Genomic DNA, 14,450 nt, shown 5'->3' on the forward strand with positions numbered 1-14,450 from the left:
TTCCCTTTCTTTCTACAAATTTTTTTTTTCTAGCTTCCCATTGGCCAAACCCACCTCCTGATCCCTTTCTAAATGTCTAATTCTTCTGGACTGTTGTCAATCCATAGCTGACCAGGCCGATTTTCTTTATCACTGTCTTTCTTTCCTGTGTAACAACCACTTAGTCTTAATGGTGGTAAGATTGCTCTGGATAAAGTGCTGATATTAACATATTTACCCAGAGGGTATGGGGAGATAATGCGGGAGGGTGGGCAAGTAAACAGCAGTACATTTTGTTGAATGAGAATAATAAACTACCTAAACTCAGTTTTCATTATTATGCCTTTTAAACCTTTTTTTTTTTTTTTTTTTTTTTTGAGACGGAATCTCACTCTGTCACCCAGGCTGGAGTGCAGTGGTGCGATGTCGGCCACTGCAAACCTCCGCCTCCCAAGTTCAAGCGGTTTTCCTGCCTCAGCCTCCCGAGTAGCTGGGACTACAGGCGTGCACCACCATGCCCGGCTAATTTTTGTGTTTTTTTTTTTAGTAGAGACGGGGTTTCATTGTGTTGGCCAGGCTGGTTTTGAACTCCTGACCCTCATGATCCGCCCACCTCGACCTCCCAAAGTGATGGGATCACAGGCATGAGCCCCTGTGCCCGGCCTCTTAAATATTCTTGATCAAAGTTACTAACGGGGTATCACTTAAGGTTTTTGGCAATAATGGCCAAAGAGTGAAGGGGTTGGGGGATGACGACTTTAGCATCAATTTTACAGGATAAGAAAAGGCAATAAATTATAATTTGCCTTAACAATATTATCTTAAACATATTTTGACAGCTATTCAGGATTATGAAACTGCTCAGGAACACAATGAAAATGATCAGCAGATTCGAGAAGGTCTAGAGAAAGCACAAAGATTATTGAAACAGTCGCAGAAACGAGATTATTATAAAATCTTGGGAGTAAAAAGGTGAATTATTAATTTAAAATTTACTTTGCTATTTTTAATCAACTCTGTTTCAAAGCTAATCATTGCTCTTTTTCCTCTCTGATTCATTTTCTTTACTTATGTAATTTCAGTCATATGGATTAAACCTTAACAGTCTTTAACATTAGAAAGCTACTTTGAGTATTTTATAGGCAAGTTTCTTTGATAGAGACCAATAATGCAACAACAGAATTAGTAGTTGGCAACAAAGATGACACTGTAGCATGAATGGGTCCTAAGCCTAGATTTTTTAAGAAGGGTAAAGGGGTAGGAGTGAGATTCCTTTTGGTGGGGATGGAGGAGGAGACGGAATGAGTAAAGAAAAAGCCTTCTCTAGGCCTAAAAATAAAGTAGTGCTTTCAGAATTAAGTCTGAAATTAAGATCTACCTTATATAAAAGTACATACTAAGTAAATGATACACCTCCCAGTGCCTGTGGGTGAATTCTGAAATTAAGTAAATGATATACCTCCCAGTGGTTCGCTGAGTAAACCATCAATTTTTCAAAATTTGGAATCTTTGTGCTTACTATTAAGTAAGCTAATGCAGAAGCATAATTGAAAGTGGCATTCAGAGTCAAATATTTTTTAATACCAAGAATTGAATTATGGTAACTTGGAAATTCAGAAAGTTAAAAAATTCATTGATGTACCTTTTTTAAAAAAGGGAAAGTTCTAAAGATCAGGAGTGCTTTATTCTCAGTAATCTTAGTGAGCGAGTATCCAAGGAAGCCTGATGTCAGCTTTAATGATCATCCAGAACTGTGTATGCAGATCTTTGGCCTGTGATACCATTGGAACTATTTTATAAAACCAGTTTTGTTAATTGCCAGTAGGATCTTAATCAGCTCTTCTGATTTTTATGATAGTATGTTAGACACTTTTCCACTAATGATTATTTATTTTACCACCCCTCAGAAATGCCAAAAAGCAAGAAATTATTAAAGCATACCGAAAATTAGCACTGCAGTGGCACCCAGATAACTTCCAGAATGAAGAAGAAAAGAAAAAAGCTGAGAAAAAGTTCATTGATATAGCAGCTGCTAAAGAAGTCCTCTCTGATCCAGGTATTATTAGCTTTTATTCCTTTGACTCATCCTAGAGGTGGTGTTAGAAGCGAGGGTGGAACATGTGGTGGGTTCTCCACGTGGGGCTGTATAGGCAGTGACGGGTCCTGAGCCCAGTTCCAGAGGTCCAGTTTTATGCCTGCCCTCATTCAGCCCTCTTATGTTGGGCACCCTCCTGTTGCAGGGTACAGTGGAAAGACTATCAAATGTGGAATCAGAGGGCCTGAATTTGAATCTTTTTTCTACTCAAAGAAGTTATCAGAACTTTTTGGTCTCAGTTTTTTCAACACTGAGCATAAGAGGATCTCTCAGGTTCCCTCTAACCTCAAAGGTCAATGATGAATTTTCTCCACCAAGCTTACAGGAGCTTGATGAGGAAACCAGCTTGCCAGGCTGGATTACATGGAGTGGGAGAAGAACAGCTGTCTGGCCTAGGGCCTGCTTTGCCCCATATGTGTTCACCAGGAATCTTGCCCTGAATCATAGGATCATTAGATTCACAGGCTTATATGTGTTTTTTTTTTTTTTAATTTTTATTTTTTGTAGAAATGGGATCTCACTGTGTTGCCCAGGCTGGTCTTTAACTCCTGGGCTAAAGTGATCTTCCCAAAGTTCTGAGATTACAGGTGTGAGCCTCTGCACCTGGCCACATGTGTTCTTTTGCCATACAGTAATATGGCCTGGAAATTTCGTTAAGAGGGAGACAGGCTAAGCATTGAGGTAATACTGAACAATGCTTTGCTGCTGCCAGAGAATTTCATGTTAAGCTTATACTGCTTTTTTGTGGCCTTCCATGTCAGTGGGAACAGCAGCTGTGATCTGAGCTAAACAAACAAAAGAGAGGAAAGTTTTATGTTTGTCAAATCTTTTTTGAGTACTTACTTATGCAGTGGAATTGAAAGTAAATGATCCTTTGTTTTCAAGTAATTTATAATCCAGTAAAGGAGACAGAAATGTACTTGCAGTGGAATTGAAAGTAAATGATCCTTCGTTTTCAAGTAATTTATAATCCAGTAAAGGAGACAGAAATGTACTTCCCTTATCAAGTAGTGTTGGATACATACTGTCCTGTTACTTAGCAAATACTGAGTGGCTACAACCTGCCTTAAGCAGTTCAATCCTCTTAGTTTGTGCAGTGCACAGGTGTGATAGTGTATCAGACTGGGAGTCAGGATCTTCTTATGTGAGAGGGACTTTGTGCTACGTTTTAAGGTACCAGGGAGCCAACCAAGGGGATGGGTGTCCCTGCACAGAGGCATGCACTGAGGAAAGAGCTGCAGGTCCTTTTTCTTACCTCCTGTTCTTCTGTTCAGGATGAACTATCTTTTCTTTTAAAGACTTTAAAGTTTTTTACTATGCATATATCAAGACGTGTCATATTTAGGAATATGTTTAGTAGAATCACATGATGTATGCCAATCTGAAACTTAATTTTCACTTGAAATAAATCTTGGCTATAGTTTTTTCTCATTGAAAAATGGTTACCTCATTCTTTGAGATGTATGCAGACCACTCCACTGAATTTTTAAGTAATTACATAATGTGAATATAGCTGAATTCACTTCCCCTTCCATTCACAGCATCCTTTCTCTGGGGCCATTATCACCCCCACCCCTACGGAGAGTTCACTACTGTTCTAAGTGCTAACACCCTAGATTAATTTTGCCTGTGAGATATCAAAGATATGGGGCCTGAGTCTAACTGCATTAGCTTTTATAAAACAAAGCTGAGTTTCAGATCACCTACAATACCCGCTTAGTTATTAACACTCAGCATAAGAACCCTCAGTTTTACTGGTGGGTTTCCTCCTCCTAAATATGTGGCTTCAGATTAACCTCCCAGAATGAAGTAAACTGGCTTTTCTCTAAGTATCTTTGAACCCCTAAAGGACAAGTTACTGTGAGAGAGCAAAGCGAGACTTGGGATTATTTTTATATTTGCATTTTTTTCTGCATTCTCTATTTTCCATTTATTAAAAAACCTAGCTATATGCTAAGTCTTTTTATTTTTTTTTTGTAAGTTCAGGGGTACATGTGCAGGTTTGTTACATAGGTAAATGTGTGTTATGGGGGTTTGTTGTACAGATTATTTCATCACCCAGGTATTAAGTCTAGAACCCATTAGTTATTATTCCTGATCCTCTCCCTCCTCCCACCCTTCACCCTCCAATAGGCCCCAGTGTGTGTTGTTCCCCTTTATGCATCCATGAGTTCTCATCATTTAGCTCCCACTTGTGAGAATATGTGGTATTTGGTTTTCTGTTCCTGCATTAGTTTGCTAAGGATAGTGGCCTCCAGCTCCATCCATGCCCCTGCAAGAGGACATGATCTCATTCTTTTTTATGGCTGCATAGTATTCCATGGTGTAGATGTACCACATTTTCTTTATCCAGTCTATCATTGATGGGCATTTAGGTTGATTCCATGTCTTTTCTATTGTGAATAGAGCTGCAATAAACTGATATGTGCATGTGTCTTTATAATGGAACAATTTATATTCTTTTGGGTGTATACCCAGTAATGAGATTGCTGAGTTGAATGGTATTTCTTTCTTTAAGGAATTGCCACACTGTCTTCCACAATGGCTGAATGAATTTACACTGCCACCAATAGTGTATAAGCGTTCCTTTTTCACCACAACCTTGGCAGCATCTATTTTTTTTACTTTTTAATAATAGCCATTTTTTATTTGCAATAATGATCTAATTATTTGCTCTAGTGATCAGTGATGTTGAGCTTTTTTTCATATGATTGTTGGCCGCATATATGTCTTCTTTTGAGAAGTGTCTGTTCATGTCCTTTGCCCACTTTTTAATGGGGTTGTTTTCTTGTACATTTAAGTTCTTTGTAGACCTTTGTCAGTTGCATAGTTTGCAAAAATTTTCTCCCATTCTGTAGGTTGTCTGTTTACTCTGTTGATAGTTTCTTTTGCTGTGTAGAAGCTCTTTAGTTTAATTAGATCTCATTTGTCAATTTTTGCTTTTGTTGCAATTTCATGATGGAAACACCAAAAGCAATCTTTGCTCATACCTATGTCCTGAATAGTATTTGCCTAGGTTGTCTTCCAGGGTTTTTCTAATGACTCTGAGGACATGAGCTCTTTCTTCCTATCCCTGCAATATTCCTCTTTATTGCCTTCTCCCATGTCTCTGCATTGATCTCTCTCTGTTCGGGGCTCAGAGGCCCCGCTGTGGGGGCACCAATTGCATGGGAGGGAAAGGTGAACCTCCTGGAGTTGTATGTTATGGAGGCCCCGCTCCCCTCATGTCTGAGGAGCCTTAGTGCTAGAATGCTCATTAGATGCTTGATGAGGTCATTGCCTTACAGACTTTATTTTGGGGATTAGGGTGGTGAGCTGGCTGTTTCATTAGAATTGTAGACTCTTGGAAGTTTCTCTTGAATTATTTTTTTCCAAATAATTTCATTGGGTAGTTATCAAGCTTGGGTGGCTTCTTCTGGAGTGAGATTTAGGGGCCTGAATCTCAATAAATACCTATTATCAACCCTGAACCTCACCCTCCTTGTGGCAAATTTCTCTAGTCTGTTTCTTCAGGGTGGGAATGGGAGAGCCTGGATTTGAATGTCAGGCACAACTCTTGATAACCGAAAAGTAAGTAGCTCCTCAAGCCCACCCACCCTCCTCTGCCCAAAGAAAACATTCCCCCTGCCCCTATACCTTAGATATTATCTGGTTCTTAATTTTCTGATTTCTTTCTAGAAATGAGAAAGAAGTTTGACGACGGAGAAGATCCTTTGGATGCAGAGAGCCAGCAAGGAGGCGGCGGCAACCCTTTCCACAGAAGCTGGAACTCATGGCAAGGGTTCAATCCCTTCAGCTCAGGCGGACCATTTAGATTTAAATTCCACTTCAATTAAACCAACTGTTTTTCTGCTCTTCTTAATTTTTTTAAAGATTAAAAACAAAGAAATCTTGTTCCGGGACCCTAATGAAAAAAAATTTCAAATCTTTTCAGTTTGTCCATGACCAAAGAGTTGCTTTAATAGGAAAAAATCTGTTCTTATCCCTGTCAGATTTATGGTTAATGGGTTTGCAACGGCAAGGAGGCAAGGAATGGTTCTATTTCTGACAGAGCAGCCTGCATCTGCTTTATGCTGTCTGGAGGGAAGTGGTCTGAGGCAGGCTCACCCGTGGAAGTGCTCACGTATTCTGTATTATTTTTCTACACTGGAGCTGAGATTCTTCTCTTCACAGCCTTGCAGAGTAAGTCAGTGCCTACAAGTGTAAGAAGGAGCTGTAATCTTCATGAGGATGGTTATACTTCAGTATTCTTAAAGAGAACATGAACATTTTTGAGCTGTATGTTCTTAGGGACAACTGTGCTTCGATGTGGTCAGTCTCGTCACTTGTGAGTAGCTGTGAAATCTTTAGTGTGCATGTGTTTGCACCTCTGTGGTCTGTCAACGTGGCTGTCACTGAAGGAGCAAGAGACCATCTTTTAGGAACCCTGCCACCAAATAATAATATATCCAGGCTTAGACTTTGGATTAATGTTAAATGTACATTTTTTTGGTTCAGTACCTGAAGAAGAATACTGAAACTTGAATCTATAAATTCCTATGGACCCTTTTAATATTAAACACAACAAATTAAAAGTTGTTATAGGTAAAATAAGTTCAGATAAAATAGTGGTGGTATTTAAAATAATATTGCTGAAGTGCAGATTGAAATACTTTTTAAACAACTGAAGTTCTGAGTTTTTATAGGGAATTTCATGTAACAAGACTGGTTTAGAAACGTAAAGTTGCGCAGTCAACATAAATAAATACAGAATGCCATGTTCTCCACTTCTAAGTAAAGACAGTGGGCAGCTTCTGTTTCTCCTTCTATCAAGGCTTCACCCTATCTTAAAGGTCTGTGGTGCCTCCCACGTGGGACCTGTCTGCTGGTATGTGTTAAACAGCAGACCGGCCCTTCTACCAGATCTTGATGCCTCTGATTTTCTCCTGCCTACAAGAAAATACAGGCAAGGTTAGTCAGGTCTGGCTATATTTCCACTGTTGTTTCATTTAATAAGATGGCATCTCCTCTTGAGATATGTTCTTCTTACCTTTTAAGAAGATACTATTTAAGAAGTGAACTATTCAGTCTTTGTATACTGAATGCTTTTTCCCTAAAAAATGTTAATCAAGAATATTGAATATTTATGGCACTCTTGATGCTGCATTTGAAAGCTGAAGGAATTACTTTAGATAGATAGGAATTGCTACCTTTATTCTGGAAAGGTTTTGTTTCTGCCTCAAAGCATTTTGAAGTGTTTTAACCATTAAAGGGTCTAATTTTTTTTTCTTAATGAAATCAAGCATTTTAATTCACTGTGGGAGGCATCCTGACCACGGACATCCATAACAGCAAAGCACAAATCGTTTTCGTCTGTAGTCATATCCTGAAACATAGGTGGACAAATTTTTAACTGAGAGACAAAAATCACATAGTTGAATTGAGCAGAACACTTAAGTGCTTTCTGCATCTATTTAGGAGTCTATTTCTTACCAATAAACTTGACAACGCATTTGGAAAACTAGTGAACACCTTACAGCTTTCATTTTGCTTTAATGTTTCAATTCAAGCCGGTGTAAAAATAATTTCCAAGGCATTTCTGTTTATTCTTTAGTAATCTCACTACTGGCTATGTCAGCAATATCTTTTTCAATCTGGTTCCTTTTGTATATGATGTCACTGTGACCTCTTTGAAATATAGTGATGGCTTTTACCTACTTTGAAAAGAATTTTCACATAGAGTCAGAAAAAAAAGGAAATATCAAATCACTTGCCTTTCCACTTGGAGAGCACGACAGTTGCCAACAACAAGGGGTCAAGGGCCGCACAGGAGATGTGTGGGGGCCTGGCCACCTCCCACCTGCTGCCCAGAGGCTTGTTTGCATTTTCATTTTTTCTCCACTTGTAACAACCATAGTTTCAGCTCCTAAATTCTTATCATGGATTTACTTAGTCATCTTAACTGACCTGCAGTTACTTGCCTGTTTTCAGTGAAGAGAGAGAAGCAGCTCTGGTGCCACATGCCAGTGCCATGGAGGGAAATGAATTCTCTGCAATCTGTTGTTTCGCTGATTCATGAAGAAAGTAACAACTGTTGAGTTTCAGCCTTGATGGCTGTCGGCAGTTTTCTGGTGTCCACCCAAACGGAGAGACAGTCACTCCTGCTTACCCTAATGTGTGACTGAGAAGCAGCCTGGGTGTGTAAAGAGATAGTCATTCCCCCTGCCTGTCTCACTGTAGGGTAGCATTATCCACTGTAAAACCATACTACTTTCATTTTCCCTTGGGGACTACAGGTGCCAGGTAACCTTTTTTTTTTTTTTTTTTTTTTTTTGAGACAGAATCTTGCTCTGTTGCCCAGGCTGGAGTGCAGGGACACCTCCCGGGTTCAAGCAGTTCTCCTGCCTCAGCCTCCAAGTAGCTGGGACTATAGGCACGCACCACCATGCCTGGCTAATTTTTGTATTTTTAGTAGAAATGGGGTTTCACTGTGTTAGCCAGGATGGTCTTGATCTCCTGACCTTGTGATCTGCCCGCCTTGGCCTTCCAAAGTGTTGGGATTACAGGCGTGAGCCACTGCGCCTGGCCATCAGGTAACCTTTATGGCTCTTTCAGGAAAAGTGAAATCAGAGAGGCGTACCCTAGCCACAGCTGTTGTATTCTGCTCTTCTTTCCTTTTTGGTGAGCTTCATGGGTGGAGTTATCAGTGGTCTGTACTTTGTGGATATTTTGCCCAGCAGGAAGTATTAGACACATCAGTCTAGAAGCATTGTGAAAAGGTTCCAAAACGGGAGACAAAATTTAATTCATTCCTCAGTTCTGAAAGTTTGTGCTTTCTTACCATGAATAGATGAAAACTTGAAAAAAATCTTGACAGTTTACTAATGTGAATCAGATGTAACGTACTACTAATTCTACAATGCCTTTCTCTTTAGTCAGTATTAAAAATCTTTTTTAAAGTATTGGTATGAAAACAAATTTTTGTTGCCCTGATAATGGAATTTTAAAACTACCCACAGTTTAAGAGAAAACATAACTTGGTAAAAAAGGTAGCCAATAAAACCACAATTTGAAATTGATACCATTTTCTACTCACAATGGATGATGAAAAATTTCACCTTTAAATGGGTCAGAAGTTGTCTTTGACATTTACCATGAAAAAACTACATAAAATGGCTCCCTGGTGAGGTTACAGACACGGCCCTGGTGATGGGCGTTGCAAAGTTTTCACTGAGCACACAGCAATGGTATCACCTAGAGAAGTTCACGCAACTTTGTTGAATGTAGTTGACTTTTCCAAATTTATAAAGGAAGGAAGAAGGCAAATGTTAATTTGCCAACAACGAATATCCTTTTTCTAAATCAGATCATTCCTTTTTTGTTAGTGGCAGTTTATCCTGTAATTTCAAATGACGTTAAGAGGTGGGATTATTTGGGGGTTTTTTTTGTTTGTTTACAGATGATCTCATTTGCTGAATGATTGATTTAAGAGTAAAATTAGCCACTGCGTGGCTTTGTGTATAGTAACCGGTTTTGTTGCACTTGTCTGTGGCTGAAACACTTACCTGCAGTGGAAAGCCGAGCAAGGAGGAGGTAAACATTGGAGATGTTTGTGAAAATATTACTCTTGCTGTGAGGTTTTAGTTTGTTTTGAATGAGAAAAGACTAAGTAACTTAATCCATCTCAATGTAGTGTTTTAATAAAAAAGGAACCTAATATTTGAAATGGGTCTCAGACATGTCTACAAATATGGGTACTATTTTTATGCCCGTGTATTTTCACATTTAATAAAAATATTTATGGTCATATCAGTATTTCCTTGCTTTTGATTCATTTTTGTCCTTGAGTATAAAATTCTAAGAAAGTCCGTCTTAGGAAAAGTCTATTATTTCCAGCTTTGCTTCACGCAAAACCAGTGACTGAGGTGACAAAAGGGCTCTTCCTTTACACAAGTTGACAGGGAAGGTCAGAACACACAAAGCAGAAAGGGCTAAAATAAAATCTCTTAACCCTCAAAAGTCCTAGGACAACTAAGGACTTAAAAAGTGGACAAGTCTTCCATTTCAGTGCTATTAAAATGTAACACTTAAATTGGCTTTGTCTGAAGATTTTCTCTTCTCTTTTATACCCCATTTGTACATTTCTGTTAAGGTCCTAAGTTGGGAGGAAGGAAGGACACTATAGCCTATCTATCTCAAATTTCCAGCTACAAACAGAAGGAACTGCCTTCTCAGTTAATGTATTCTGCATATCTTAAGAAAGATCCAAGGAGAGCTACGATATGTAAATGTATACAGAACTTTTCCAGAAAGCTCAAACCTTCCTTTTTTTTTTTTTTTTTTTGAGACGGAGTCTTGCTCTGTTGCCCAGGCTGGAGTGCAGTGGCATGATCTCGGCTCACTGCAACCTCTGCCTCCCTGGTTCAAACAATTAACTGCCACAGCCTCCCGAGTAGCTGGGATTATAGGTGCCCACCACCACACCTGGCTAATTTTTTTGTATTTTTAGTAGAGATGGGGTTTCACCATCTTGGCCAGGCTGGTCTTGAATTCCTGACCTCGTGATCCACCTGCCTTGACCTCCCAAAGTGCTGGGATTACAGGCGTGAGCCACTGCACCCGGCCAAAGCTTCCAAATTCTTAATCGTCATGATATTGTAGCAATATATGAGCAGCCAGCCTGAGTCTGAAGATAAACAGCATGAACACGTGGAGCAGGCATGAGGGCTGTAGGGAAACTGCAAGAAGAAGGGAGGTCCAGGTCCTCTTCCCAGAGCCTCAGGAGCTCTCATTGAGCAGGCACCAAACCCGCTCCCTCCCTACCCCCAGGCCCAAATCAGTGCTTCATTATCTTTAAAAAAAAATTATCATTTTAATCTTAATGCCAGCTTACAGGTCACACCTCAGAGACCCTGAACTCTGCAAACCCTTTTATGCTGAGCAAATCCTTTGGGAATGCTTCTATGATAAAAGCTTAATATGCATATTTATTGCCTTATACTAGGATTCTGTTTCTAATGAAGCATACAGGAGATAACTCAGCTTGCATTCCTATTTTGAACACATTTCCAGCCTTCACTCAGTTCTGTTTTTCCTGATCAACTCAGTCTACTGGGATAAGCATCCCTCTGACAGATACTCCCAGGGACTGGGCCGCCGTGGCTTGGAAGGGCCACTGGGAACATTAGTGCCAAGGTCTGAGGAAACCAGAATTGAACATATGTAAAAAGCATAAGGGAGTAACCACTGCTTGCAGCATTTCTGAGTGGATTTCAACTGCTCTTAAGTCTTCTTGGTATTTATATACTTCCTTGTTATTACAGGAGATTTGTATAGGTATATCTTTGAGTACAGTGTGCCATTTGTAGGTACGGTTAAAAAGGATTTTTCCTTCTTACACTGTTTTCCCTAACTACATGCAGTTTTGCTCCTAAGTATGAAGATGCTTTTTCTCTAAACTATCTGTTAAAAGGATAATTCTTTAGAGATAAAGCATCTTCATACTTAGGAGCAAAATTACAAGTAACTAGTTAGGGAAACCAGTATAAGAAGGAAAAATCCTCTCTAAAGTATCTGTTAAAAGGATGAATCTTGGGCTGGGCATAGTGGCTCACACCTGTGATCCCAGAACTTTGGGAGGCCAAGTTGGGTGGATCACCTGAGGTCAGGAGTTCAAGACCAGCCTGGCCAACATGATGAAACCCTGTCTCTACTAAAAATACAAAAAATTAGCCGGACGTGGTGGCAGGCGCCTGTAGTCTCAGCTACTTGGGAGGCTGAGGCAGGAGAATCGCTTGAACCTGGGTGGCGGAGGTTGCAGTGAGCCAAGATTGTGCCACTGCACTCCAGCCTGGGCAACAGTGAGACTCCATCTCAGAAAGAAAAAAAAAGGATAATTCTTTTAACAAATTACGTACATTTCACTGTGTCAAGTTTTCTTAGGATTTTAGATACCCTGTCACTTCATATATACCACCGGTTGCACTATTTTGTTTCCTGCAATGTTTGTGGCTTTGTTATCTCAAGTTACAGTGGAAAGACTTCATTCTATGGTTAATGTTTGTACAAACAAAATAGCATCTATTCCTCCTACTGAATGCATAAACATTAAGCAATTGTGGAATGAGGGGAGGGCTCTCCCTGTAGGACAGGGCCTCAGATGAGAGGAAATTCATTATGGACATTGAACAATGAAAAAAAGCAGCATTAGCAAATCTAGAGCTTTTGTCCAAAAAGTTGGTACTGCTGTTATGAATAAGGAATTAGGAAACAATGCAGGCATAAAAATATTCACCGAGCAGTTTAGGATTTATATGAATGGATGTTAGCCCTTCACTGCGCTTGAGGATCAAATCACAAAAGCTCTTCACATGGTTCATAAACTCACTTGCCTTGTCACCCAGGCTCCAACCTCATGGGCCTTCTTTCAGTCCTCAAACGAACAAAACTCCTTCCATACTATTCTTTCTTGCCTGGCTAGCACGAACTTTTACTTCAGGTTTCATCCTAAAATGTTACTTGTTAGGTCTGTCTTGACACTTGCCCTTCACAACATTTTCATTTGGGTATTAATGTCTGTCATTTATACTGTCTAGTAACCTTAAGAGGACAGCTTGGCACACAGTAGGTACCTAAATTATTTGTTAAATTGTTGAAATATTTGTTCAATCTGTTCAGGGCAGAGAGACCTACCATATTACTGGCCTTATTTAGATGAAACTTTTTAGAAATCGTTTTCTGGTGGAAGCAGACCGTGGGGAAACAAAGGAAAAGCTACCTACCAGCGTGAGGAAGACAAACACGGCAGAGGTCTGTGGCAGGACATTTGTATGGAAAGTAGTTTCAATCTGATGCTCTAGACTAGACACTCTACTACAGGATTAGTTCTATTTATTTCAACATTCATCTTACCCAGTAAAGGTAGTACCATAATTATTCCTCCTCTCCTTTTCCTGAAAATTTTAAATTAAACATATTCAAATAATGGTTTGAAGCCCATCTTTAAAATCTGAATAATTTTTCTTCAATTCTAATAAAAACCTTTCCTTTTTAAAGTAAAATCACATCAGGTAGGATACAAACTTTACATAGTTGAGCAGATCCACATGATTGAAGTAAACTTCTTCACTTCAAGTAATTATTAACTGTAGAGGAGAAGATTATTTTCCAAATCAGAGATCTTTACAACAGAGGTGTTACTAGTTCTAAGTCAAGAGGCTTTACCTGAGAATTTCTCAGAAAATAGAAGTTTGTATTTGGTAAATGGGGTTAACAAATAGAAAATGGGGAACAGCTGTCACATTACGATAACACTTGAAGACTTTAAAAAAGAGAGGTTCTAGAATGGGCTTACACACCTGACCGAGCCCCTCTAACTTACAAAGTTACCTGTAATTTTGGCCATCAAAGCCCTGGACCATCATGTTTCCTCTTCCTCACTCTGCCACCAAAGGTGAGATTTTAACCAATCAACTGGTTCTTTAGAAGTGAGTGGAGCCCCTTCAGTCTATGAAGTAACAGAAGTGAGTGAGACAATGGCTGGGTCATAACTTCTGCTTGTTGGTTTGAGCATGGGCCCATCAGCACCTTTTACTTCATCTCTGTAACTATGGATCTGAGACACATGATCCACGTGTTCATCTGACTTGTCCCGTACCTCCTGCCCATGAAAGTATTCTGTTGGGTCCCTGGAGCCTCTTCTGGGCAGTGGCAATTTGTTGTCTGGTTGCTTTTCAGGTGCTGGAGTCAGGACCTGGCACACAGCAACAAGCAGTTCTGTGGGCAGGTCCCACTTGTGTCAGACTACATGTTTAATATTAAAAGCCTGATTTTATAACCCCAGGCTGACATGGCTTTAGGTGCCTTTAGAAGTATTTGATGCTATCCTTCTAGGAGCTATGTTGTTCTCTAGGAGCTTGAGGGTAACTGGAGCCAAATGACAGGCATTTCCCAAATACAATCTTTTGGACCTAAGTGTTGGAGGTGGTATGCTGACTTTGGATTGTCTTAATGCTCAGATTCTGGGTCTACTTTCTACATAAAGCTCACACATCACTGTGGGTCAAACACAAATGCTTCTCATTCTTAGTTTAGATACACTGTTCTGACACTTTTTCTAAGAAGGCAGAAAGAGAAGACATTTATCACTTCCCATAGTTAGAAACTAGTTCCCCCACATTCCGCTGACCTCCACTACTTCTAGGATTTGATTTTTGTTAAAACTTGACATAGGGCCTGCAGCCGAGAACCAGAATTTAGGATCCTGAATATACCATGAAAGCCGTTGGACTATATTTGTTCAGCATCTCCAGGACAAGGAACTGAATGGCTTTCTCTCCAAGTGTTAGCAAATAAGACCTATGGTTCAGTTATGTAATGTGTCCCTGAGGAGGGTACA

At 39.7% G+C, this 14,450-nt stretch overlaps 1 protein-coding gene across 2 annotated transcripts in view; it reads left to right on the forward strand.

Annotated features, from left to right (window-relative positions):
* DNAJC3 (DnaJ heat shock protein family (Hsp40) member C3) overlaps positions 1 to 9,868 on the forward strand; it is a 117,850-nt gene extending 107,982 nt beyond the window's left edge. For both annotated transcript variants that reach the window (XM_011521104.3, NM_006260.5), the window contains 3 exons: positions 819 to 951; positions 1,887 to 2,035; positions 5,753 to 9,868. In XM_011521104.3, the coding sequence (XP_011519406.1) occupies positions 819 to 951; positions 1,887 to 2,035; positions 5,753 to 5,910 (440 nt within the window). In that variant the 3' untranslated portion in view covers positions 5,911 to 9,868. The remainder of the gene's footprint in view (positions 1 to 818; positions 952 to 1,886; positions 2,036 to 5,752) is intronic.

This window comes from Homo sapiens, chromosome 13, assembly GCF_000001405.40.
Source record: "Homo sapiens chromosome 13, GRCh38.p14 Primary Assembly".
Lineage (NCBI taxonomy): Eukaryota > Metazoa > Chordata > Mammalia > Primates > Hominidae > Homo > Homo sapiens.